Source organism: Homo sapiens, chromosome 2 (genome assembly GCF_000001405.40).
Source record: "Homo sapiens chromosome 2, GRCh38.p14 Primary Assembly".
In the NCBI taxonomy this organism is placed as follows: domain Eukaryota; kingdom Metazoa; phylum Chordata; class Mammalia; order Primates; family Hominidae; genus Homo; species Homo sapiens.
The window spans coordinates 218,381,356-218,406,094 of NC_000002.12; the positions used below are offsets into that span (position 1 = coordinate 218,381,356).

The 24,739-nt window shown below is 58.0% G+C and overlaps 2 protein-coding genes and 1 non-coding gene across 36 annotated transcripts, besides 9 other annotated features; all 3 read left to right on the forward strand.

Annotated features, from left to right (window-relative positions):
- SLC11A1 (solute carrier family 11 member 1) lies at nt 918-15,539 on the forward strand. Of its 7 annotated transcripts, NM_000578.4 has the most exons (15): nt 918-1,020; nt 1,605-1,747; nt 2,888-3,010; nt 3,792-3,911; nt 5,280-5,386; nt 5,805-5,875; nt 6,210-6,277; nt 6,445-6,600; nt 8,515-8,673; nt 9,843-9,932; nt 10,021-10,140; nt 11,626-11,775; nt 12,765-12,838; nt 13,277-13,430; nt 13,570-15,539. In NM_000578.4, exons 1-15 carry the CDS (start codon nt 1,014-1,016, stop codon nt 13,678-13,680), a joined length of 1,653 nt encoding a protein of 550 aa, NP_000569.3. In that variant the 5' UTR covers nt 918-1,013; the 3' UTR covers nt 13,681-15,539. The 7 variants fall into 7 exon arrangements, with proteins under 7 accessions (NP_000569.3, XP_005246850.1, XP_006712774.1 ...); XM_005246793.5 differs by lacking the exon at nt 1,605-1,747; XM_017004766.3 differs by lacking the exon at nt 918-1,020 and having other exon boundaries at nt 1,628-1,715.
- Nucleotides 11,225-11,894: an enhancer, noted in NCBI's record as "H3K27ac-H3K4me1 hESC enhancer chr2:219257303-219257972 (GRCh37/hg19 assembly coordinates)". NCBI's record gives its function as "activates a minimal SCP1, AML or CMV promoter by ChIP-STARR-seq in primed H9 embryonic stem cells {active_cell/tissue: H9 hESC(primed)}" and the evidence as "EXISTENCE:reporter gene assay evidence [ECO:0000049][PMID:30033119]".
- Nucleotides 12,564-13,232: an enhancer, noted in NCBI's record as "H3K4me1 hESC enhancer chr2:219258642-219259310 (GRCh37/hg19 assembly coordinates)". NCBI's record gives its function as "activates a minimal SCP1, AML or CMV promoter by ChIP-STARR-seq in primed H9 embryonic stem cells {active_cell/tissue: H9 hESC(primed)}" and the evidence as "EXISTENCE:reporter gene assay evidence [ECO:0000049][PMID:30033119]".
- Nucleotides 13,233-13,901: an enhancer, noted in NCBI's record as "H3K4me1 hESC enhancer chr2:219259311-219259979 (GRCh37/hg19 assembly coordinates)". NCBI's record gives its function as "activates a minimal SCP1, AML or CMV promoter by ChIP-STARR-seq in naive and primed H9 embryonic stem cells {active_cell/tissue: H9 hESC(naive and primed)}" and the evidence as "EXISTENCE:reporter gene assay evidence [ECO:0000049][PMID:30033119]".
- Nucleotides 14,581-14,920: a silencer, noted in NCBI's record as "silent region_12316". NCBI's record gives its function as "represses an Ori minimal core promoter by ATAC-STARR-seq in GM12878 lymphoblastoid cells {active_cell/tissue: GM12878}" and the evidence as "EXISTENCE:reporter gene assay evidence [ECO:0000049][PMID:35858748]".
- CTDSP1 (CTD small phosphatase 1) lies at nt 14,996-24,586 on the forward strand. 28 transcript variants are annotated; one of them, NM_001400268.1, is made up of 8 exons: nt 17,387-17,809; nt 18,590-18,802; nt 20,209-20,357; nt 20,759-20,860; nt 20,994-21,050; nt 21,680-21,772; nt 21,877-22,062; nt 22,942-24,586. In NM_001400268.1, exons 2-8 carry the CDS (start codon nt 18,736-18,738, stop codon nt 23,068-23,070), a joined length of 783 nt encoding a protein of 260 aa, NP_001387197.1. In that variant the 5' UTR covers nt 17,387-17,809; nt 18,590-18,735; the 3' UTR covers nt 23,071-24,586. The 28 variants fall into 28 exon arrangements, 14 of the variants coding, with proteins under 14 accessions (NP_001387202.1, NP_001387201.1, NP_001193807.1 ...); NR_174456.1 differs by lacking the exons at nt 17,387-17,809; nt 18,590-18,802 and adding an exon at nt 14,996-15,159 and having other exon boundaries at nt 20,756-20,860; NR_174457.1 differs by lacking the exons at nt 17,387-17,809; nt 18,590-18,802 and adding an exon at nt 14,996-15,159.
- Nucleotides 15,071-15,200: an enhancer, noted in NCBI's record as "active region_17122". NCBI's record gives its function as "activates an Ori minimal core promoter by ATAC-STARR-seq in GM12878 lymphoblastoid cells {active_cell/tissue: GM12878}" and the evidence as "EXISTENCE:reporter gene assay evidence [ECO:0000049][PMID:35858748]".
- Nucleotides 17,161-17,430: a silencer, noted in NCBI's record as "silent region_12317". NCBI's record gives its function as "represses an Ori minimal core promoter by ATAC-STARR-seq in GM12878 lymphoblastoid cells {active_cell/tissue: GM12878}" and the evidence as "EXISTENCE:reporter gene assay evidence [ECO:0000049][PMID:35858748]".
- Nucleotides 18,121-18,490: a silencer, noted in NCBI's record as "silent region_12318". NCBI's record gives its function as "represses an Ori minimal core promoter by ATAC-STARR-seq in GM12878 lymphoblastoid cells {active_cell/tissue: GM12878}" and the evidence as "EXISTENCE:reporter gene assay evidence [ECO:0000049][PMID:35858748]".
- Nucleotides 18,561-18,640: a silencer, noted in NCBI's record as "silent region_12319". NCBI's record gives its function as "represses an Ori minimal core promoter by ATAC-STARR-seq in GM12878 lymphoblastoid cells {active_cell/tissue: GM12878}" and the evidence as "EXISTENCE:reporter gene assay evidence [ECO:0000049][PMID:35858748]".
- Nucleotides 18,801-18,960: a silencer, noted in NCBI's record as "silent region_12320". NCBI's record gives its function as "represses an Ori minimal core promoter by ATAC-STARR-seq in GM12878 lymphoblastoid cells {active_cell/tissue: GM12878}" and the evidence as "EXISTENCE:reporter gene assay evidence [ECO:0000049][PMID:35858748]".
- Nucleotides 21,291-21,367, forward strand: MIR26B (microRNA 26b). The gene has a single exon (NR_029500.1). It is a non-coding gene; the product is annotated as a microRNA 26b (primary transcript).

The window sequence follows — 24,739 nt, forward strand, 5'->3', positions numbered from 1 at the left end:
TGGTGCATGCCTGTAGTCCCAGCTACTCAGGAGGCTGAGGCAGGAGAATTGCTTAAACATGGAGGACAGAGGTTGCAGTGAGCTGAGATTATGCCACTGCACTCCAGTCTGGGCAACAGAGTAAGACTCTGTCTCAAAAAAAAAAAAAAAAGGAGTTTGAGGCTGCAGTAAACTAAGATGGCACCACTGCACTTCACACCTCACTCTAGCCTGGGTGACAGAGCGAGACCTTGTCTCTAAAAAAAAAAACAAAAAACGAAAAACCAAAAAAAAAAAGGGTGGGGGTGGAATAGAATAAACAACTCTGAGAAGGGACATGATCTGGTGACAATCTCAAGTGAATCAGTGGTTGAACCAGGACCAGATCCCAGTGCCCCATCTTCTGGGGACGTCCTGGGTCTGAATCTTCAATGCATGTCCCTTCTGCAGTGCCTTCCTCTGTGGCCCTCAAAGGGAAACTGAAGCCTTTGAGGACATGAAGACTCGCATTAGGCCAACGAGGGGTCTTGGAACTCCAGATCAAAGAGAATAAGAAAGACCTGACTCTGTGTGTGTGTACGTGTGTGTGTACGTGTGTGTGTGTGTGTGTGGCAGAGGGGGGTGTGGTCATGGGGTATTGACATGAATACGCAAGGGGCAGGAAGCATCTGAAATCAGAGCTAACTTGGGAGGCACAGAACACGGGGTGCCTGGAAGGGGAACAGATGTGTTGTGGGGCACAGGGCAGGCTGGGAGGGGAACAAAGGTCCACTCCATGGGTAACCAGACCCTTCCGCCAGGGCTGGCCACTTCTGCCTTTGGAAAATGTTTCACAACGCCCCATGTTGTGTGTGTGTGTGAATCGGCCGATGTGAACCGAATGTTGATGTAAGAGGCAGGGCACTCGGCTGCGGATGGGTAACAGGGCGTGGGCTGGCACACTTACTTGCACCAGTGCCCAGAGAGGGGGTGCAGGCTGAGGAGCTGCCCAGAGCACCGCTCACACTCCCAGAGTACCTGAAGTCGGCATTTCAATGACAGGTGAGTAGTGGCCCCTAGGGACAGAGCCTGATTGGGGGGTGGAGTGGAGGAGATCACTAGGCTGGTGGAGACTTGAGGAAGCAAGAAAGCCCTTGGTCCCCTGTGGAAGCCTCTGGTCCCCCGTGGGAGTCCTAGTCTAGAACACAGTTCTGGACACCAGACTCAATCTCACTGGGTGGAGTCCTTCACACCCCTAAGCGGTCTACCTTTCCTTTGTCTGAAGTCCGTGGATCAAAGCCCCTGGAGCTTTCTGGGCTGCCGGAGAAGGTGAGGGGTCCAGCCAAGGGGCAGACATGTGGCCTCAGCTTGCCCTTCTTAGAGCCTAGGGTCTCTCTGCATTCTCTGTGGCAGGAGATCTGCCTCTGGGCATCTGTCCTCACATGAGAGGACAGTAATTCTGAAGCTGCCATGTCCCACACATCTGGAATGTTTGTTTGAGAGGTGGAGGTGATGGACCCAAGATGGGGGCCAGGGACCTTAGTTTCTCCACTTTTCCGGGAGGAGGAGGGAAAGGATCAGGCGGCTTTAACTCTGGGCCACCAGAAAGAGGCAGGACACTCACCATGCTTCATGGGCCCCCACAGGTGACAAGGGTCCCCAAAGGCTAAGCGGGTCCAGCTATGGTTCCATCTCCAGCCCGACCAGCCCGACCAGCCCAGGGCCACAGCAAGCACCTCCCAGAGAGACCTACCTGAGTGAGAAGATCCCCATCCCAGACACAAAACCGGTGGGATGCTGGAAACTTCCTGGGGGCTTGCAAGATTGACAGGATCCTGAAGGATCCCATGGGCTGGAGAATGGGGTCTCCTTATGATCATGGGTGGCAAGTCCCTTCCAGGTCTGAGCAGCAGTGGTGGACAGTGGCAACTGCCCCTTCCTGCTTCCGTCCCCAGTGCTTAGCTGGGGTGCTTCAGTATTTGTCTAAAAGCGATTAAATGACTTTCTCAATGAATCTCAGCTTTCCTATGAAGGAAAAGAGGCCCAGGGGGAATTGGGATTGGAGCCTTGAGGACATGTTATAGCATTTAGGAAAGGGCATAGGGAGAAGTGAAGGAGGCTGCAGGCTGGCATCTAGCATCTAGGATGCTGTCACCTGCATTTCCAGTATCTTCTCTTTTTTTGGAGATGGAGTCTCGCTCTGTAGCCCAGGCTGGAGTGCAGTGGCGCGATCTCAGCTCACTGCAACCTCCGCTTCCCAAGTTTAAGCGATTCTCCTGCCCCGGCCTCCCGAGTAGCTGGGATTACAGGCATGCACCACCATGCCAGGCTAATTTTTGTATTTTTACTAGAGACAGGGTTTCACCATGTTGGCCAGGCTGGTCTCAAACTCCTTAGCTCAAGTGATCCACCCACCTCGGCCTTCCAAAGTGCTGGGATTACAGACACGAGCCAACGCTCCCAGCCTCCAATATCTTCAGCAGATTTCTAAGTCAATATGCCATGCTCTGGAACAGGGTGGGGGGACCATAGCCTCAGCGGACCACAGAGAGGAGGCCCCGTGGTCTGAAAAGGAGCTGGCAAGGGAGGAGCTGGGCTAGGGAAGCTTGGCCCCCTCACCCCCTTAGACAGCCCCCTGTGAGGTCTCTGAGGACCTGACAAGTCAGGGCTTGAGGGGCAGGCAGTTCAGGTGCAAGCCGGCTGCTGAGCTTAACAGATCCAGAAAAAGATCCTCTGTGACTCATCAGAGCATGCTGCTTCCTCCACCCATGCCCTCCCCATCCCTTGGGTGGCAGACCCAGGAATGGGCCATGGAGGGCAGGGCTGGGCTGATGAGCCTGTTGGGGCTCCTCTAGGGGATGGCCAAGGCCAGCTGCCACCATCCCTATACCCAGGACCCCCTCACTCTACTCCTCCCACCCCCCAACAGGGCACCTTCAGCCTGCGGAAGCTATGGGCCTTCACGGGGCCTGGCTTCCTCATGAGCATTGCTTTCCTGGACCCAGGAAACATCGAGTCAGATCTTCAGGCTGGCGCCGTGGCGGGATTCAAAGTAACTAAGTCGGGACCTGAGTGGGGACACTTTCGAGAGGGAGGTGACCAGGCTAAGTGTTGAAGGCCCCTGCTGGCCATGTTTCTCCAATGTGGCCTGGGAGCTGGTGTTAAGTTCAAATGGGCCCGAAAAGGGTCCCCAGGGCAGCCCTGCCAGAAGGTGGGGCATTTGTGTGGGGGGTAGGGGACTGGACTCCTCTCTTTAAAATATATATATGTATATTTATTTATTTATTTATTTAATTTTATTTTTTGAGACTCAGTCTCACTCGGTCACCCAGGCTGGAGTGCAGTGGCACAATCTCGGCTCACTGCAACCTCTGCCTCCCGGGTTCAAGTGATTCTCCTGCCTCAGCCTCCTGAGTAGTGCATGCCACCACGCCTGGCTAATTTTTGTATTTTTAGTAGAGATGGGGTTTCACTGTGTGGGCCAGGCTGGTCTTGAACTCCTGACCTCAAGTGATCCACCGCCTCGGCCTCCCAAAGTGCTGGGATAACAGGTGTGAGCCACCTTGCCTGGCGTAATTTATTTATTTATTTAGAGATGGGGGTCTCACTATGTTGCTCAGGCTGCTCTTGAACTCCTGGACTCAAGCAATCCTCCCACCTTAGCCTTTTAAAGTGCTGGGATTACAGGGTGAGCTACCAGCGCCCAGCCAGGATGGGACTCCATCTCTCCCACCCCCTCCCCGAGGAGTATGCTTGGTTAGAGGGTACCACGAGCTCAGGGGCTTTCTGAGGCTGGCCTCTCTGGCTGAAGGCCTCTCCCTGCCTCCTCACAGCTTCTCTGGGTGCTGCTCTGGGCCACCGTGTTGGGCTTGCTCTGCCAGCGACTGGCTGCACGTCTGGGCGTGGTGACAGGCAAGGACTTGGGCGAGGTCTGCCATCTCTACTACCCTAAGGTGAGCTTGGGGGGCCTGGACAGGGAGAACCACTGGCCCCAAACCCCAAACAGCCATTTTCAGCTTCCACGATCAAATAAATACATCATCTCACATGGGGCATCCCAAGTCTGTTTGTTTTTGTTGTTGTTTGTTTGTTTTTCAGTCGGAGTCTCGCTCCGTCGCCCAGTCAGGAGTGCAATGGTGCGATGTCAGCTCACTGCAACCTCTACCTCCCAGGTACAAGTGATTCTCCTGACTCAGCCTCTCAAGTAGCTGGGATTACAGGCGCCCACCACCATCATCGGCTAATTTTTGTATTTTTAGTAGAGCTGGGGTTTCACCATGTTGGCCAGGCTGGTCTCAAACTCCTGACCTCAGATGATCCACCCACCTCAGTCTCCCAAAGTGCTGGGATTACAGGCATGAGCCACTGCATCCGGCCCCAATTCCATTTGATAGATGGAAAGACTGAGGCTCAAACTGATAGCACATAGCCTAGAGGGACATGAGAGGCATGTCATTTCACAGAAGGGGTAATTAAAATTTGGGAAAGAGACTTGCCCAAGACAAAAAATGGGGAGGCATCAGCTCAGGAATGGTCACTGGTTGGGGTGGACCCTGGGGACTTCGTTGTTGTGAGTGTCCAGTTTGGAAAACAGAAATTACAGCACTGGACATTTCAAAGGTATTGAATGCAGGGATTGAAAGGTTTGGGAGGGCTTGAGGGGCAAGGGAAGAGGGTGTTACAAAAAGATCAGAAAGCTGCTACACCTCTGGCACAAGCCCCAGAGCCATCCTTTGCTGCTGAGCTCCTGGAAGCATTATTGATGCTGATGAAATGGCCACTAGTGCTGCCAGAGTCCGGGTTGCCTGGTGCCACTGCCAGAAATACAAGAAGCAGGGGGAGAAAATGGTTTATCTCAGCCTGGGGCGGTGGCTCACGCCTGTAATCCCAGCACTTTGGGAGGCCAAGGCGGGTGGATCACCTGAGGTCGGGAGTTCGAGACCAGCCTGACCAACATGGAGAAACCCCGTCTCTACTAAAAATACAAAACTAGCCGGGCATGGTGGCACATGCCTGTAATCCCAGCTACTCGGGAGGCTGAGGCAGGAGAATCGCTTGAACACGGGAGGCGGAGATTGTGGTGAGCCGAGATCATGCCATTGCACTCCAGCCTGGGCAACAAGAGCAAAACTCTATTTCGAAAAAAAAAAAAAAAGTTTATCTCTGCCTTTCCATCTCCTGTATGCTCTTCCTACATAAGGTAGGAAGCCCATTGGCCAGACTGTCTAGTAAATGTAGTCTGAGACGACAGACAAATGTAGTCTGAGACGACAGGCAAATAACCGGCCCACCCTTAATGAAGGATCATCTCCTCCCCATAGGTGCCCCGCACCGTCCTCTGGCTGACCATCGAGCTAGCCATTGTGGGCTCCGACATGCAGGAAGTCATCGGCACGGCCATTGCATTCAATCTGCTCTCAGCTGGACGGTACCACCCCAGTGTACCCCAACTCTTCAGGCCAGGCAGAGAACAGCTGCTGCTACTTCCCCCCCTAACCAGTCCCTCCCAGAGTCTATTTTATCCTGCTGTCCCCTCTGAAGCAGGGCTGCTGCCCTGTTTTCCAGAAATGTAAAGTGACTTGTCTAAAGTCACACAGATGTGAGTCATGCAGGACTTTGGGACTGCAGCCCCAAACTCCCTGCTGCGCCGGGTGCCAGGTCTCTCCTCTAGCTCTGCCCTGCCTCGACTGTTCTATGCCACACTCCCACTCCCCTTGCCCTAGCTGTCTGGGGGCGCTTAGGGTCCTGCTCCCAGGAGGCCAGATTCCTGTCTCCAGCCCTGAGGCTCCGTAGGAGTTAGAGACCCCTGGACCAGGCTGGGCTGACCCGGGCCACTCTGGTTTCAGAATCCCACTCTGGGGTGGCGTCCTCATCACCATCGTGGACACCTTCTTCTTCCTCTTCCTCGATAACTACGGTGGGTGCACACCCCACCTCATAGGGGAGTGGTGGTGGTGAGGGTGCTGTACTGGGAGAAGGGCTCTGACATCGAACAGCCTGGGAGCGCACCTGAGCTCCCTCACTCTCCCTGGGTGGCCTCTAGCGAGTTACTTGGACGTGCCTCTCTTCACCTGTAACATGGGGAAATAATAGCACAGACTTCAGAGGGTGGTTGTGAAGACTGAGTGAGGTAACATATGTTAAGCACTTGGCACTGTGCCTAGAAGCGCTCGTAGTATTAGCCATTACGAATTGTTGATGTCACAGATTTTTTTCGTTGGTTTGTTTAGTTTGTTTGTTCTGCTCCGTAGGGCTGCGGAAGCTGGAAGCTTTTTTTGGACTCCTTATAACCATTATGGCCTTGACCTTTGGCTATGAGGTAGGAAGCCAGTGCTGCAACCCCACTGTGGACCTCCCAAGATCATTCCTCTCCCTTCCCTCTGGCCGCGGGCTGCGGGGGGCTGGGGTGGGATGGAGGCTGAGAAATGGTGACCGCGGCGTGGTTGCGAGGGGCGGGGCTTGTCCTGACCAGGCTCCTCCCTGCAGTATGTGGTGGCGCGTCCTGAGCAGGGAGCGCTTCTTCGGGGCCTGTTCCTGCCCTCGTGCCCGGGCTGCGGCCACCCCGAGCTGCTGCAGGCGGTGGGCATTGTTGGCGCCATCATCATGCCCCACAACATCTACCTGCACTCGGCCCTGGTCAAGGTGAGCAGAGGGGAGGGGAAAGGAGACCCCCTCACTCAGTCGGAGCCATGCTGGCTCCGCCTCCAAGCCTGGAGCCCCTCCCCTCTGGCTCCTTCCCTCAGGATTTGCGGAGCCTGTAATAATTGAGGGACAGGCGGGGCGCCATGGCTCACGCCTGTAATCCCAGCACTTTGGGAGGCGGAGGCGGGCGGATCACGAGGTCAAGAGATCGACACCATCCTGGTCAACATGGCGAAACCCCGTCTCTACTAAAAATACAAAAACTAGCTGGGCGTGGTGGCGCGCGCCTGTAGTCCCAGCGGCTCGGGAGGCTGAGGCAGGAGAATCGCTTGAACCCGGGAGGCAGAGGTTGCGGTGAGCCGAGATCTTGCCACTGCACCACTCCAGCCTGGCGACAGAGCGAGACTCTGTCTCAAAAAAAAAAAAAAAAGAAAAGAAAAAGTGTCTACTGTGCGCTGGGAGGAACAGACCGTCAAGGCCTCTGCCCTTCTAGAGTTTCCGTGCTAGTGGGGTAGACGGATGACAAGCAAGTAAACCAACAAAGGAAAGAATTATAGGCCGGGCGCAGTGGCTCACGCCTGTAATCCCAGCACTTCAGGAGGCCGAGGCGGGCGGGCGGATCACGAGGTCAGGAGTTTGAGACCTCAACAGCCTGGCCAACATGGTGAAATCCCGTCTGTACTAAAAATACAGAAAATTAGCCGGAAGTGGTGGCGCGTGCCTGTAATCCCAGCTACTCGGGAGGCTGAGGCAGGAGAATCGCTTGAAGCCAGTAGGCGGAAGTTGCAGTGAGGGGAGATGGTGACATTGCACTCCAGCCTGAGTGACAAAGCAAGACTCCGTCTCAAAAAAAGAAAAAGAACAAGAACTATAGAGCTGGGCGAGGTGGCTCACGCCTGTAATCCCGGCACTTCAGGAGGCAGAGGCAGGTGGATCGCTTGAGCCCAGGAGTTCGAGACCACCCTGGGCAACATGATAAAACCCTGTCTCTACCAACAAAAAATAAAAAATAAAATAAATTAGTTGGGTGTTGTGCACACCTGTAGTCCTAGTTACTCAGGAGGTTGAGGCTTGAGCCCTGGAGGTCGAGGCTGCAGTGAGCTGAGATCCCACCACTGCACTCTCAGTGACACAGTGAGACCCTGTCAAAATAATAATAATAATAATAATAATAATTGCGAAAGGGACTCTGAAGTAAACAAAACAGAGAAATATGATAGAGAATGACTGAAAGTTGGGGAAGTAGATCAGGGAAAAGATATTACAAGCGGAGGGAAAGCAAGTGCAAAGGCCACTGGCAGAAGTGAACAAGGCTTGGGTCCCTAACAGCTTAACAGTGGCTCACACCTGTAATCTCAGCATTTTAAGAGGCCAAGACAGGAGAATGCTTGAGCCCAGGAGTTCAAGGCTAGCCTAGCAAGACCCTGTCTCTGCAGAAAATTTAAAAATTAGCGGGTTGTAGTGGTGTGTGTCTGTGGTCCCAGCTACTTAGGAGGCTGGGGCAGGAGGATCACTTGGGCCCATGAGTTGGAGGCTGCAGTGAGCCATGCATTGCACCACGGCACTCCAGTCTGGGTGACAGAACAAAACCTGTCTCTAAAAAATAAAATAAAGTAAGCTGGACACGTCTGAGGATGGAACAAGGTGAGTGAAGGAGCGTGTCAGGACCTGAGGTAGCCAGGGACCTCAAAGGCCAGCCTTGCTTCACCCACACAGTGGCTTACAGTGGTAAGGCCTCTGTGGCAAGAACAGAGATGTAGGAAACCATCGGCTGACCTGAACCTGCCCCAGACTGCCACGCAGGGGACTTAAGAAGGTACTGGGCTTTGGGGAGAACATAGAAGTGTGAGGGTGGGGGACACTGTGGTGGCTCTGAGGGACTTTGGCACTTCCCTCTCCCTTTGATCTTCGTAGTCTCGAGAGATAGACCGGGCCCGCCGAGCAGACATCAGAGAAGCCAACATGTACTTCCTGATTGAGGCCACCATCGCCCTGTCCGTCTCCTTTATCATCAACCTCTTTGTCATGGCTGTCTTTGGGCAGGCCTTCTACCAGAAAACCAACCAGGCTGCGGTGAGACACACTTTCCCCCGCACCTGAGGCCACACACGTACTCATGTCCTGTAAGCCTTGCCGAGGACCCTAGGCAATGCAGCTGAGCCCTTCTGAGTCTCTGCCCTGATGATCTTCCCTGTTGGCAGATATCATTCATTCAGCAAATAATCATTGAGCATTTGTTATATACCAAGCACATCCTAGACCCTGGGGATACAGCAGTCAATGCTACAAAGACCCAGCTCTCTGCAGCTTAAATAGGGAGGGAGGTGAGCAGACAGGAATGAATACCCAAGGGAAGTACAGAGTGGGAAGAAATAAAGGGGGTGAAGAAGCATAGTTGGGGGTATGGGGGTGGGGTCTGCATTAGCCCAGGTGGTCAGGAAAGGCTTCTTGGAAGAGATGACATTTGTGCTAATACTGGAAAAGGAACTAGCCAGCTCCTCCCTGACTCTCTGGGATCTGGGACCTGTGTCTGTCTCCCCTTCTGAGTGGATCTCAGTCATGAGGCTCTAACAACTGCAGCCAGGGTTGGGGGCTTCCTGAATGCTGAGCCCTGTGGGAGAAGGGGTGGCCAGGCCTCCAAGGACCTGGGCACTGCCACTGCCTTGCTCTGTGACCTTGGGAGGTCACACTCCTCCCTGGGTCTCACTCTGTTCCTTGGCACAAGGAGGGAGATCAACATCAGGACTGCAAACCCTTGTCTTCAAGACCAGGCAGGCGCAGAGTTGTGGGAAGTGGACAGTGTGAAGAGGGCATGGCAGCCAGCTGTCTCTGTGGTGATGCCAGCTCTTACGAACCTAAAAGAAGCTGGAAACTGGGTTCTTATGCCAGGCCTTCTCAATTTTAAATGTTGGCAACAAATCCACATTAAAGAAAAAAAAAACCCGGCCGGGTGCGGTGGCTCACGCCTGTAATCCCAGCACTTTGGGAGGCTGAGGCAGATGGCTCGCTTGAGCCCGGGAGTTCAAGACCAACCTGGGCAACATGACAAGACCCCCATCGCTACAAAACGTAAAAGTAAAACAAAACAAAACCCAACTTATTTTGTTAGCCAAACAAAATATGTCTGGCCAGATTCAGCCTTGGGCCACCAGTTTTGGAACCCTGGTCAGTGCTAGGCAGTCCAGTTTCCCAAGGCTGAGCGTGCTCCTCACATCTTCCTTCTACTGCCCTGGTACCCACAGTTCAACATCTGTGCCAACAGCAGCCTCCACGACTACGCCAAGATCTTCCCCATGAACAACGCCACCGTGGCCGTGGACATTTACCAGGGGGTGAGCGCGGGTGGGTGGGGAGGGCGTGACCCAGAGAGGCTCCCCGCCTCGGGCAGGGCCACCGGTCCTACCACACTCGTCCCTGCAGGGCGTGATCCTGGGCTGCCTGTTCGGCCCCGCGGCCCTCTACATCTGGGCCATAGGTCTCCTGGCGGCTGGGCAGAGCTCCACCATGACGGGCACCTACGCGGGACAGTTCGTGATGGAGGTAGGGCAGGGGGCGGGCCCAGGAGGGCAAGGGGTCCAAGGACAGCAGGCACACTACTGGGGGCTAGAACTCCGAGCCTTGTGGGTCCTCTTTTCTTTTCTTTCTTTTCTTCCTTTTTTTTTGTTTTTGTTTTTGTTGTTGTTGTTGAGACGGAGTCTCGCTCTTGTCGCCCAGGCTGGAGTGCAGTGGCGCGATCTCGGCTCACTGCAACCTCCCCCTCCCAGGTTCAAGCTTCTCCTGCTTCAGCCTCCTCAGTAGCTGGGATTTCAGGCACCTGCCACCAGGCCTGGCTAATTTTTGTACTTTTAGTAGAGACAGGGTTTCGCCATGTTGGCCAGGCTAGTCTTGAACTCTTGACCTCAAGTGATCCGCCTGCCTTGGCCTCCCAAAGTGCTGGAATTACAGGTGTGAACCACCGCACCCGGCCAATTTTTGTATTTTTAGTAGAGACGCAGTTTTGCTGTGTTGGCCAGGCTGGTCTCAAACTCTTGACCTCGTGATCCGCCCGCCTTGGACTCCTGAAGTGCTGGGATTATAGGCGTGAGCCACTGCGTCCGGCCTTTTCTTTTCTTTCTTTCTTTCCTTTTTTTTGAGACGGCGTTTCGCTCTTATTGCCCAGGCTGGAGTGCAATGGCGCGATCTCCGGCTCACCGCAACCTCCACCTCCTGGGTTCAAGCAATTCTCCTGCCTCAGCCTCCTGACCAGCTGGGATTACAGGCCACCACACCCAGCTAATTTTGTATTTTCAGTAAAGACGGGGTTTCTCCATGTTGGTCAGGGTGGTCTCGAACTCCCAGCCTCAGGTGATCTGCCCTCCTCAGCCTCCCAAAGTGCTGGGATTACAGGCGTGAGCCACCGCGCCCGGCTCTTTCTTTCTTTTTTGAGACAGGATTTCACTCTGTTGCTCAGGCTGGAGTGCAATGGCGCCATCACAGCTCGCTGCAGCCTCAACTTCAGCCTCCCGAGTCATTGGGACTACAGGCTCATGCCACCACACCAGGCTAATTTTTAAAATTATTTGTAGAGATGTGGTCTTCCTATGTTTCCCAGGCTGGTCTCGAACTCCTGGGCTCAAGTGATCTTCCCGCCTTGGCTTCCCAAAGTGCTGGGATTACAGACGTGAGCCACCCCACTCAGCTTTGTTTCCTTCATGTAGCCCAGAGGGCGACACTATAAGCCCCATTTTACAGATGAGAAAACAGATCCTGACAGATGAGGTGACTTGCTGGAAGCTGCAGACCCAGGACTAACAGAAGCCTTTTCCCCAAAACTGTTTAGTCTTCAGCAACCAGCTATGGGATGGGAGCTCCCCATTTCTCCCCACCCATCCCCTCTTGCCACCTAGGGACAGAGCTGTCCCAGTTCAACAGTGGAAAAACAGAGCATGCCCCCAGGGATAAATCGGTTGAGGGACTACAGAGGATCTCTCCTCTGGAATCCCCAGTCCTGTCTACTCCTCACCAAGGAGTTCACCCCCACCCCAGGGCTTCCTGAGGCTGCGGTGGTCACGCTTCGCCCGTGTCCTCCTCACCCGCTCCTGCGCCATCCTGCCCACCGTGCTCGTGGCTGTCTTCCGGGACCTGAGGGACTTGTCGGGCCTCAATGATCTGCTCAACGTGCTGCAGAGCCTGCTGGTGAGATGCGCCAACCCCACCAGCCCTGCCCACTGCTGAGCGAAACAGGACCTCCAGCAACCCCCACGCTGAGCCTTGCATGGGCCTGCCAGGCCCTGTCCCAGGCACATCTTGCCTACAAGGCTTCCATTGTCCCCACAGCCACCCTGGGGGGCAGGAGGGTAGGAATCACCATTATCCTTCCCCCCTCCCACCCCCCAGATGGTCTCCCTCTGTCACCTAGGCTGGAGTGCAGTGGTTCAATCATGGCTCACTGCAGCCTGCCCTCCCTGTCTCTAGCAATCTTCCCACCTCAGGCTCCCGAGTAGCAGGGACTATAGGTGCATGCCATCACACCCAGCTAATTTTTTTTTTTTTTTTTTTGAGACGGAGTTTCACTCTTGTTACCCAGGCTAGAGTGCAGTGGTGAGATCTTGGCTCACTGCAACCTCTGCCTCCCAGGTTCAAGCGATTCTTCTGCCTCAGCCTCCTAAGTAGCTGAGATTACAAGCGCCCACCATCACACCCAGCTAATTTTTTGTATTTTTAGTAGAGACAGGGTTTCATCATGTTGGCCAGGCTAGTCTCAAACTCCTGACCTCAGGTGATCCACCCGCCTTGGCCTCCCAAAGTGCAAGGATTACAGGCATGAGCCACTGAGGCAGGTCTAATTTTTTTTTTTTTTTAAGTAGAGACAAAAGCTCATTATGTTTGTTGCCCAGGCTCATTATTCCATTTTACAGATGGGAAAACTGATGCACTCAGTTAAGTTACTAGTGGCAGGGCTTGGATTCAAACCGAAGCAACCTGGTGCCAGAGCCCCCAAACACTTTCTCCTGCTTTGGAGCCCACAACCTGATAAGGCAGGAGACGGGGAAGTAGGCTCAGTGTGGTTAGGGCAGTTGAGCTCACACCCACACAGAGGGTGTCAAGCCACGCCCATCTTGCCCCCACCCTTGCCATATTCTGAGGCAGAATTCCTCAGCCTAGGCTCCTGCTGCTCTCCCCAGCTCCCGTTCGCCGTGCTGCCCATCCTCACGTTCACCAGCATGCCCACCCTCATGCAGGAGTTTGCCAATGGCCTGTGAGTACCCCCTTTCCCAAGTGCTGGATTGCATCACCACATTTCATCCTCACAGCCACCCAGAGGTACGAGCTACAATTCTCCCCATTATCCCAATGAAGCCACAGAGGCTGAGAGAGGTTAAGGGACTTACCCAGGTTCACACAGCTAGCAAGTTGAGGAGCCAAGACTGGAATCCAGGGAAGAGGGCTGTTTCTAGAGCCTGAGCGCCTCACTCTCGCCTCAGACTCAGCTCTTGCCAAATCCCGCCAGTGTGTAGCCTGGAGGGCCCAGGAGGCAGGAGGTGGGGAGGGGGTCTGTCTGCTCCAGGTCCCACAGACCAGAGAAGCGGCCTCAGTGTATCCCCACCCCCAGTGTGGGCGCTGGGAGATGAAGAGGAGTTGATGCAGGTGGGCCAGCAGCAACCAGCCAGTCCTGAGCCTCTCTCGTGTCCCCCAGGCTGAACAAGGTCGTCACCTCTTCCATCATGGTGCTAGTCTGCGCCATCAACCTCTACTTCGTGGTCAGCTATCTGCCCAGCCTGCCCCACCCTGCCTACTTCGGCCTTGCAGCCTTGCTGGCCGCAGCCTACCTGGGCCTCAGCACCTACCTGGTACAGTAGGGCCAGGGGATGCCTTGGGAATGGATGAGGGAAGGACAAGAGGCAACCAATGGGGAGGGTTTGGGGGGACACAATGGGGCTTCCCCAGAGGTCTTGGCATCTCCCCAATTCATGGTTGCCCCTCCCCCAGGTCTGGACCTGTTGCCTTGCCCACGGAGCCACCTTTCTGGCCCACAGCTCCCACCACCACTTCCTGTATGGGCTCCTTGAAGAGGACCAGAAAGGGGAGACCTCTGGCTAGGCCCACACCAGGGCCTGGCTGGGAGTGGCATGTATGACGTGACTGGCCTGCTGGATGTGGAGGGGGCGCGTGCAGGCAGCAGGATAGAGTGGGACAGTTCCTGAGACCAGCCAACCTGGGGGCTTTAGGGACCTGCTGTTTCCTAGCGCAGCCATGTGATTACCCTCTGGGTCTCAGTGTCCTCATCTGTAAAATGGAGACACCACCACCCTTGCCATGGAGGTTAAGCACTTTAACACAGTGTCTGGCACTTGGGACAAAAACAAACAAACGAAAAACATTTCAAAAGGTATTTATTGAGCACCTGCAGGCGTGACCTGACAGCCCAAGGGTGGGTGGGGTGAGGGCTTGAGGACTTGGGCGGGACACAGGCTCCAAACTGGAGCTTGAAATAGTGTCTGATGAATGTTAAATTATCTATCTATCTATTTATTTATTTATTTGAGACAGGGAAAGGGTCTCCCTCTGTTGCCAAGGCTGGAGTGCAGTGGCGCAATCTTAACTCATTGCAACCTCCACCTTCTGGGTTCAAGCGATTCTCTTTATTCAGCCCCGGGAGTGGCGCGCGCCACCACGCCCAGCTAATTTGTGTATTTTCAGCAGAGACGGGGTTTGCCATGCTGGCCAGGCTGGTCTCGAACTGCTGGATTCAAGTGATCCGCCCATCTCCGTCTCCCAAAGTGCTGGGAATTACAGGCGTGAGCCACCAAACCCGGCCTGATTAAAGTTAAATAAATACTAGTTCCCTTCTCGTCCAAAGGAGCAGGGAATGGGAACCGGGAAGGCACGAAGTCTCTAAAGCATCCAGAAGACCCCTACACCAGGGTCTGGTCCGCTCCTATTCGCCGCAGCCTTTCTGTTCCGCCTGCAACCCATTTTCCAGACAGTAAAACGGCGGCGCACTTCTTTCTCCGTCAGGCACCAGGTCATAAGGAACCCAAGAGTCTGTGCCTCTGAGGCCCAAATTATTTGCTGTTTCCTCAGGGGAGCCGGCGGCCGCGACTCCCACGCCGCGCCGTTACCGCTCCCTCTCTGCTGACTGCTCCCCCTAGGGGCAGAGACGGTCCCGACGCCCGCCATCCCGCCCCGGCCTCACCCCTCCCCGCCAGGCGGAACGACGCGGGGAGGCGGGCGCTCGGGGCTCGCGCCAGGGGCCCCAGAATCCTTCGGGGAGAGTGGGTGGGAGGAAGCTGTGTGGGCGGGGAGCCCCCTCTGCCTTAGGGAGCGGCTGGGCACCCATTCGCCCCATTCAGGGGCTGCACTTTATAGACGTTCCCTAGGCTGTTTCTAGGCTCCCCCAAGTCCCTCCTCCAGCCTCGTCGGGTCCCTCAGACCCCAGCCCAGGACCTGCGGAGGGCCGCAGCGAGGAGAGGCCAACAGGCCTTTCCCTAGAGTTGAACCTGGGCCGGGTGTTGCACCTGGAAGAACCCCCGATTTCCTGGGGACCCAGCAGGGCAGGCGGCCTGGCTCCGCGCTCAGGTCCGGACGCTTGTTTATGAGAAGAATTTCCTCTTTCTTAAAAGGGCAACGATGCGAGTGGGTCCCTCAAGGAGAGAAGAGATGGGACCGGTCTGGTGCGACCTGGGCAAGCGCTGCAGAGGGTACCTGGGCAAGAGGGCCGCCCGCCTCCTCTGGGTTTGGCACTGGAGAAGATGGGTCCATGCCAGCTGAAGGAGGAGATGGATGGGGGACGTTTAGCGAAGAAAGGCATCTCCCAGATCCTTTAGCCTCCTGGAAGTGCCCCCGTTGTACCCCCTACACACCCCTCTTGGCATTGAGTGCCAGTCCTCTGCCAGGCTCTGTGTTACAAGTTGGGGAGGGCGGCAAAGTCCCGAATTAAAGATGTCAGTTCTCAAGGACCCCACACTCCAGCGGCGGGAGACAGCTGTGCAAACAAGTCCCTGTGGCAGGATGCGGTGAAGGGCGCTGCCCGTGACGCCAGCCAGGGAAGGGGACTGAATCTTGCTGAAGGGGGGGTCGGCGGTAGGGGGGAGTGTTGACAGGACAGCCCAGGAGGAATGAGAGTGCCAGGAGCATGGGGGCACGTGTGTGCACATCTGCCAAGACCTGAAGCTTTCTGGGGACGTCTTAGATCTTGTGGGGCAGGACGGGGGACGGCAGAGTAATGGGCAGGTTGGTCAAGAAGACACGGAGACCCGGCTAAAGGGCTACCCAGGACCTGGGCAAAGGGCTAGTGATGAGGTCGCGCCAAGGTCAGTCATTTGGACACTGGAAGGCGTCTACTTAGAGCTGCCCCCATTCCCCCCATAGTAGCTCTGGTTCTTCCAGCCTGGCCTCAAATCGACCCTCCAGGAAGAGGGGTGCAGAGTTGCTCTTCTGGAAGCTCCCTTTAGGCCTCCCAGGGAGGGCGTGGTCGCACTTGGCACTCCCCAAGAGCCTGCTGAATGCACCCCGACTTTGTGCACGGCTCCCCGCCTCCCCCTGGGTTGGGCTTTTACCAGCCCTGTTTGGCAGATGGGGAAACTGAGGGACTGTGTTGGAAGAGACGCTTCCAAATCCACAGGTGCCAGACAGCACCTTGCTGAATCCCGTTCCTGCCCCTCCCCGTTTCTGACTTGTGGCCCCCATGATTTTATTTTTCCTGGGGTGCGAATGATAAAACAGACAAAAAATAGAGTGCATAAAGCGACCTCCACCTGTAGAGACAGAGGGCAGCTGGGTGTAGACAACCCCTACAGTGAGGACACTCGAAGGACCCCCCTCCCCCCACGCAATCCTGGCCTCTCGCTCACTCCGTAACTAACTACCCGCCCCAGGCGTGGGGAGATAAGTCCAGGGCTCCAGGCAGAAGGCGCGGCTACCTCTGCCGCTTTGGGAGCCTGGGAGGAGGAGTTAGGTCTCCCTGGGAAAAGAACTGCACGGGCAACGGCTTGAAGTGGCGATAAGATGGGGTGGAGGAGGTGGGGGATTCCTGAGGAATCCTGTGAGCTCAGGATGGCGCGTCTGGGAATGGTGGGTGTGGGGACAGCCGGCCAGGTACCAGCCCCCTTCACAGAGGGAGAGGAAAGCGCGCCACCCAACCCAGGCCAAGGGCGAGGCCACGACTCCACTCAGTCCCTCGCCACACGCTTCCTTTTGGGGTCATGAGGGCCCCGCATCCGGAGATAAAGCCGAGGCCCCACCCAGGGGGCCGGACCGCAGGGGAGACAGATGTCCCGCTCCCAGGCTGGAATCCCGCCTTTGCCCTTGCCGGTAGACCCGAAGCACGTCGCTTCCTTTCTTGAAACTCAGTTTCCTCATCTGTGAAATGGGTTAAGAAGGAGGCCGTTCTAAGGGGTAAATGAGATTAGGGGGCGCAGCCAGAGCAGGCCTAGGAAAACGCCAGCAGCGTGTGGCGATCACGGTGATGAAGCGCAATGGTGGCCGCCCCGTGGGCTACCCAGGAGCAGGAGGAGGGCCGAGGGATCCAGCCCGGGGACCGGGGTATCAGTCCCCGACAGTCCCCTCCCGCCCCTACTCCCAGCCTCAGCGCACGAAGCCGCCGCGCCTTCTGGCAGACGCCGCTCCCCTCCCTTCCCCTCCCGGCCCCCGCGCGGGGCCTCCCCTCCCCGGCTCCCCCTCGGCAGGGCCTGGCGGACGTGCGCCGCGTCGCACCCGGCGGCCGGACGGGACAGGACGCGCCCGCCCCGCCCCGCCACGGAGGCCCGCGGGAGAGGGGGAGGGGAGGAAGTGCCGAGGGGTGTTTGTCGGGCTTGGCATTATTAATTTTTAAATGGTGAACTTACAAAATAGTAACGACGAGTGAAAAGAACTTCATAAACGAGGAAAAAGACCAACCCGCAGACCCACGGCGCGCACCACGGAGGGGCTTGCAGCGAGAAGACAGGGACCTCCGTTCCCAAGTGCCCAGCACTGCGCCACAGGCCGGGTGGAACGGGCCTTGAGGGCCTCTGGTTTGAGGTCCCCCACGGTCGGGCTTTGGGCCCACCGCGTGCGGCGCCGTGCTGGGCTCCTAGGATCGGCAGCGAGTCCAGTGACTCCCACCGCACCCCCAGTAATCACAGGGCGGCCGTCGACCGCGGGCAGGGGAGGGGGTCTGGGAAGGCCCCTGGAGAAGGTGGCATTTCCTCGAGGTCGGTGGAATTTGGCTACGCGAAAGGAACAGCGCGTACGAAAACTTCAGGCGGGAACGCGCGGTGGCCCGTGCGCGGCGGGTAGACGTGCGGGGCCCCGGGTGGGGCCGTGGGGAGAGGTCGGCAGGGGGCTTTCCCAGGGCAGAGAGTTAGAATTTCACGTCCTACAGACCGGGGGCACCTCGCCCTGGGGCTGCGGGGGGCGGCGACCGTCCCATTCAAGAGCGTGATTCTGAGGTTTGCACAGCTGTTTCGGGCCAGCAGAGCCTTCGCTGGCTCTTGACGTCCTTGCGAGGTGATCTCTGCGACCACCAGACAGGAGAGAAGACCCATTTTACAGATGAGGTAGTGCTATCTCCAAGTCCTCAACGAGGAAACCGAGAAGCCTCTAGTCCCGGGTCTTCAGAAAACGCAGAGGTGGAGCCGCGCCGCACTCGGGCACTCCCCGGCGTGGGCGCTCCCGGCGGGCGGGCCTTGGCCGAGGGCGCTCGGCGGCCTGGAACGGTGAGCCGGGTGCCGGGCCTGCCACGCAGCCGCAGAGACTCAGCCCCGCCGGCGGGCGGCAGGAAGGGAGGCGACGCCCCCTGGAGCGCGGCAGGAACCCGGCCCGGCCCGCCTCCCAGTCCGCCTAGCCGCGCCGGTCCCAGAAGTGGCGAAAGCCGCAGCCGAGTCCAGGTCACGCCGAAGCCGTTGCCCTTTTAAGGGGGAGCCTTGAAACGGCGCCTGGGTTCCATGTTTGCATCCGCCTCGCGGGAAGGAAACTCCATGTTGTAACAAAGTTTCCTCCGCGCCCCCTCCCTCCCCCTCCCCCCTAGAACCTGGCTCCCCTCCCCTCCGGAGCTCGCGGGGATCCCTCCCTCCCACCCCTCCCCTCCCCCCCGCGCCCCGATTCCGGCCCCAGCCGGGGGGGAGGCCGGGCGCCCGGGCCAGAGTCCGGCCGGAGCGGAGCGCGCCCGGCCCCATGGACAGCTCGGCCGTCATTACTCAGATCAGCAAGGAGGAGGCTCGGGGCCCGCTGCGGGGCAAAGGTACCGGGGCTGCGGGGAGGGGGCCGAAGCCGGGGCGCCGTGGGAGGAGAGAAGGGGCCGGGATCTTCCCCAGGGGAGCCGCCGCCGCCGCCCCGGGCGGCCGCCTTAGCTGTGCCCGAAGCTCCCAGCCCGAGAGGGAGCAGGGAGAGAGTTTGAACTCAGAGGAGGCTCAGAGACGCGGGGCGGGGCCTGGCGCCTTTGGGGCGCTCCTGTTCGCTCGAGGTGAGGAAACTGAGGCAGGAATAGAGAGGGAACTCTTCGGGGGTTTCCTGGCAGGCATTGCGTGGTGCATGGGCGCCCCCCCACCATTGGCGCCAATGGGGCTGGGAGATGGGGGAGCTGAGGAGGGCGCCTATGGGCCACCCGCTGAGACTCCGCCCCACCCCCCACCCCCACCCCCCCGGGCTGCGGTCCGGTAGGGTCTTGGGAGGGGGCGCCGAGGTGACAGCAGGCTGGGGAGGCTTGGAGGGATCTCCCGCCAACACACAGCTACGTTCCCCACAAACTTCGCGTCACGCGTGGAGGCGCCGACCCCCTCGGAGGCACAGAGAGGACGGCCGGCACTTCCAAGAGTCGCTTGGCGCCCGCGGGGAGAGTCGTGCGCCTAGTGGGCACGCACCACCCCGCAAAGCCTCGCCGCCCCGACGAGGCTGCGTCCCCCAGCGTGGCTGGGCCGGGGTGGGGGGGTCTGTCTTCTCCTTTTCCCCGTGTGGACCTCAGGATCTGGACGCTGCCCCCAGGTCTGCCCACCCTCGCCTGGGTCTGGCTGCCCCGGAACTGAGGGCAAGGTGGAAAGGCTAGTTGCAGGGGGCCGGAGGGGGGTGGGGTGGGAGGGGTATCTGTCAATCAGGCTGCTGGGCTCCAGGTCGGAGGTCTGGGCGGGGCAGGGCAAACAGATGGCCACTGGACACTGGCCCCAGGCCGCGGGACTGCACCCCTGCCTCTGGGCCCAGCCGCAGTGAGGACTTCGTACCCACGGGGGTGGAGAGGATGGAGGGAGGGCAGGGGTGGACTGCCCTGGGTCCCAGGCCCTGGCTGTCCTGAGCAGGGGTGCTCAGGTAAGGTGGGGTCAGGAGGCACCGCAATGGGGCTGATCAGCAGCAGTCATGGAGGCTGTGAGAGGCAGGGAGAGAGCACCCCAGGACCTCCTTCTCCAGGCCACGCACTCCCTATGTGGGCGCCTTAATACCTGCTAGACCTATTTGTCTGGGAGCTGCAGGAGCCTTGCAGTTGATTGTGGAGCCCTGACAGGGGCGTTTCAGAGAAAGTCAGGAGCTGCCTTCGTGTGTCTGGATGAAGGGGCCACGGCAAGATCCTCCTGGCTCAGGGGTTCACACCTGGGCACACATGCAGGATTCTGCAGGCCAGTGTGCACCGAGCCTCCAACTTGTGCCTCCCTACTTCAGGTGACCAGAAGTCAGCAGCTTCCCAGAAGCCCCGAAGCCGGGGCATCCTCCACTCACTCTTCTGCTGTGTCTGCCGGGATGATGGGGAGGCCCTGCCTGCTCACAGCGGGGCGCCCCTGCTTGTGGAGGAGAATGGCGCCATCCCTAAGGTGCGTGGGGGCCAGGTGGGGCCACGGGGGCACCTGGACTCAGTCTTCAGGGCTTTAGGGGAAGGGGCTCCTGACTGAGCTTTTCAGGATGGACTTGCAGACCTGAAAGGTGCAGAGTAGGAGGGTGGCAGCCTCCCCTGCCAGGCCCTGCCCACTGTGGGGAAACTGAATTCTCCCTCATAAGTGGAAGCTTTTTCCTACCTTGGTTTTTAGAGAGGTCTCAAAGAGCCAAGAGGCCTACCCAAGCCCTAGAGCTGGCAGGGGCAAAGCTGGGAAGGGGGAAGTATCTGTTCCTGGGGCCTGGGGTTCCTCTGGAGACGGCTAGGGGGAGAAGCCTGCGTGGGAGGAAGGACCAGGCCCGGAGAGAGGCACCCCAGCCAGCCCCGCCCTCCCTACAGCAGACCCCAGTCCAATACCTGCTCCCTGAGGCCAAGGCCCAGGACTCAGACAAGATCTGCGTGGTCATCGACCTGGACGAGACCCTGGTGCACAGCTCCTTCAAGGTGGGCCCTGCTCAACAGCCCTCAGCCCGGGTCTCGGGGGGCATCCCCCACCCTGGCCTGGGAGGGAGGTGTGTGCTGGACCCCATGCCCTGGGGCTCCTCCTCCAACTCCAGCAGCTCTTTTCCCCCCACAGCCAGTGAACAACGCGGACTTCATCATCCCTGTGGAGATTGATGGGGTGGTCCACCAGGTGAGGGCCAGGAAGAGGCAGTGGTGGGCTTGGCATCTGCCTCCAGACCCTAGGCTCTTCCCACCAATCCGGAGCGCCTCGGATGGGAATTGGATACATGTGGAATGTCAGAGGCCCAGAGAGGGTGTGAGACTTGTCCCAAAGTCACACAGAACCTCAAGGGCTTGTGCTGACTCCAAGCCTGCAGAGTGGGCTCCTCCTCTAGGCTCCCCCGTGCTGTGCTCCCTCGCCCCACCCTGCCCGGGACCCAGTTCAAGTAATTCAGGATAGGTTGTGTGCTGTCCAGCCTGTTCTCCATTACTTGGCTCGGGGACCGGTGCCCTGCAGCCTTGGGGTGAGGGGGCTGCCCCTGGATTCCTGCACTAGGCTGAGGTTGAGGCAGGGGAAGGGATTGGGAATTAGGGACCTCGTGAGGTAGGACTGGCCAGTGGAGTGGAAGTTTTGATCGTTTTCTGGCGGGGGGTGGGTACAGTTTCCCCAGCAGTGGTCAGGGTAGCTGGCCAAGCGGAGCCTGCGGGCCCAGTCTCCTTCCTGTGCGCCTCTGCCTCCCTGGCCCATGCCCTGCCAGCCCTCGGCCACCCCCACACTGCCCCACTGGCCCGCAGCCCCCTCACTGGCCCGCCCCCCAGGTCTACGTGTTGAAGCGTCCTCACGTGGATGAGTTCCTGCAGCGAATGGGCGAGCTCTTTGAATGTGTGCTGTTCACTGCTAGCCTCGCCAAGGTGAGCCCCACAGGGGTCCCGGGGCAACCCTGCCCTCCTACCTACCTCCCGCATGCAGCCCAATGAACCTGCGGGCCCCAGGATGACCCACCTCCTGCTCCCAGTACGCAGACCCAGTAGCTGACCTGCTGGACAAATGGGGGGCCTTCCGGGCCCGGCTGTTTCGAGAGTCCTGCGTCTTCCACCGGGGGAACTACGTGAAGGACCTGAGCCGGTTGGGTCGAGACCTGCGGCGGGTGCTCATCCTGGACAATTCACCTGCCTCCTATGTCTTCCATCCAGACAATGCTGTGAGTGCGGGCTGGACTGGGACTGGGACAGGAGCTGAGACCCAGGAAGGGGTCAGTCCATTCAGGCCACCTTGGCCTCTTGGATCCCCAGTTGGGGGGTGGGTGCCCTCCCAGTCCTTCCTGCATTCATTGCCTGTGCCTGCCGCCCACTCCCCTCATCCACCTGCCCTGTAGCCATATGGTCTTTTCCCCTCGCACAAAGCAGAGCATCTGCCATGCACAGGGGCCCCCACAGGGCAACGGAGTTTGGAAAGTTTCAATTTTTCGAATTGCCAGTTGTGACCTACTGATGGCCCACAGAATTAATTTAGTGGGTTCTGATTGGGAATTTTAACAAAATGAAATAGAATAGAAAATATCCGGTCGGGTGCAGTGGCTCATGCCTGTAATCCCAGCACTTTGGGAAGCTGAGGTGGGCAGGTAGCTGAGCCCAGTAGTTCAAGACCAGCCTCGGCAACATAGTGAAACCTTATGTCTACAAAAAATACAAAAACTAGCCAGGCGTGGTGGCGCATGCCTGGAGTCCCGGCTATGCAGAAGGCTGAGGTAGGAGTATCACTTGAGCCCTGGAGGCAGAGGCTGTGGTGAGCCAAGATTGTGCCACTGCACTCTAGCCTGGGCAACAGAGCAAGACCCTGCCTCAAAAAAAAAAAAAAGTATCCGAGTGCTTCGCACAGATAAGGTTAGGAATTGTGAAGCTTTTGCATTGTTACGTTATAAATGTGTTTTCCTGGGGATTGCTGTCAAAAAAGTTTGAACACTGTGGGTGAGGGGTTTTCAGAAACTGCATGATCTGAGTAGTGGCTACATAGGGCTGGCCTGGAAATTCTGCACCCAGGACCACCTGCCCCCCTCATCTTCCTACACCCACTTCCCCAGGTACCGGTGGCCTCGTGGTTTGACAACATGAGTGACACAGAGCTCCACGACCTCCTCCCCTTCTTCGAGCAACTCAGCCGTGTGGACGACGTGTACTCAGTGCTCAGGCAGCCACGGCCAGGGAGCTAGTGAGGGTGATGGGGCCAGGACCTGCCCCTGACCAATGATACCCACACCTCCTCCCAGGAAGACTGCCCAGGCCTTTGTTAGGAAAACCCATGGGCCGCCGCCACACTCAGTGCCATGGGGAAGCGGGCGTCTCCCCCACCAGCCCCACCAGGCGGTGTAGGGGCAGCAGGCTGCACTGAGGACCGTGAGCTCCAGGCCCCGTGTCAGTGCCTTCAAACCTCCTCCCCTATTCTCAGGGGACCTGGGGGGCCCTGCCTGCTGCTCCCTTTTTCTGTCTCTGTCCATGCTGCCATGTTTCTCTGCTGCCAAATTGGGCCCCTTGGCCCCTTCCGGTTCTGCTTCCTGGGGGCAGGGTTCCTGCCTTGGACCCCCAGTCTGGGAACGGTGGACATCAAGTGCCTTGCATAGAGCCCCCTCTTCCCCGCCCAGCTTTCCCAGGGGCACAGCTCTAGGCTGGGAGGGGAGAACCAGCCCCTCCCCCTGCCCCACCTCCTCCCTTGGGACTGAGAGGGCCCCTACCAACCTTTGCCTCTGCCTTGGAGGGAGGGGAGGTCTGTTACCACTGGGGAAGGCAGCAGGAGTCTGTCCTTCAGGCCCCACAGTGCAGCTTCTCCAGGGCCGACAGCTGAGGGCTGCTCCCTGCATCATCCAAGCAATGACCTCAGACTTCTGCCTTAACCAGCCCCGGGGCTTGGCTCCCCCAGCTCTGAGCGTGGGGGCATAGGCAGGACCCCCCTTGTGGTGCCATATAAATATGTACATGTGTATATAGATTTTTAGGGGAAGGAGAGAGGGAAGGGTCAGGGTAGAGACACCCCTCCCTTGCCCCTTTCCTGGGCCCAGAAGTTGGGGGGAGGGAGGGAAAGGATTTTTACATTTTTTAAACTGCTATTTTCTGAATGGAACAAGCTGGGCCAAGGGGCCCAGGCCCTGTCCTCTGTCCCTCACACCCCTTTGCTCCGTTCATTCATTCAAAAAAACATTTCTTGAGCACCTTCTGTGCCCAGCATATGCTAGGCCCACCAGCTAAGTGTGTGTGGGGGGTCTCTACGCCAGCTCATCAGTGCCTCCTTGCCCATCCTTCACCGGTGCCTTTGGGGGATCTGTAGGAGGTGGGACCTTCTGTGGGGTTTGGGGATCTCCAGGAAGCCCGACCAAGCTGTCCCCTTCCCCTGTGCCAACCCATCTCCTACAGCCCCCTGCCTGATCCCCTGCTGGCTGGGGGCAGCTCCCAGGATATCCTGCCTTCCAACTGTTTCTGAAGCCCCTCCTCCTAACATGGCGATTCCGGAGGTCAAGGCCTTGGGCTCTCCCCAGGGTCTAACGGTTAAGGGGACCCACATACCAGTGCCAAGGGGGATGTCAAGTGGTGATGTCGTTGTGCTCCCCTCCCCCAGAGCGGGTGGGCGGGGGGTGAATATGGTTGGCCTGCATCAGGTGGCCTTCCCATTTAAGTGCCTTCTCTGTGACTGAGAGCCCTAGTGTGATGAGAACTAAAGAGAAAGCCAGACCCCTATCCTGCTTCTGTGGTTATTGCGGGGGACTTCAGCAAGTGGGGTGTGTGCCTTGCACCTGCGGCTGCCGTGGGCCCCCCCCCCCCCGCTTCAGCACACCTAGAGGGCTGTTGGTGGAGGGAGGGGCTGCCCGGCCCTCGACACTTCAGGTGGGA

Bases quoted from the DNA above. Each gene is read 5' to 3' on its own strand.
- SLC11A1 (NM_000578.4), top strand. The intron at 5,387-5,804 runs GTACCACCCCAG...CTCTGGTTTCAG, and splicing joins AATCTGCTCTCAGCTGGACG to AATCCCACTCTGGGGTGGCG. The intron at 8,674-9,842 runs GTGAGACACACT...TGGTACCCACAG, and splicing joins AGAAAACCAACCAGGCTGCG to TTCAACATCTGTGCCAACAG.
- CTDSP1 (XM_011511569.3), top strand. From the start codon at position 19,133: ATGGGGGAGCTGAGGAGGGCGCCTATGGGCCACCCGCTGAGACTCCGC. The intron at 21,051-21,679 runs GTGAGGGCCAGG...CCCGCCCCCCAG, and splicing joins TTGATGGGGTGGTCCACCAG to GTCTACGTGTTGAAGCGTCC. The intron at 21,773-21,876 runs GTGAGCCCCACA...TCCTGCTCCCAG, and splicing joins TCACTGCTAGCCTCGCCAAG to TACGCAGACCCAGTAGCTGA.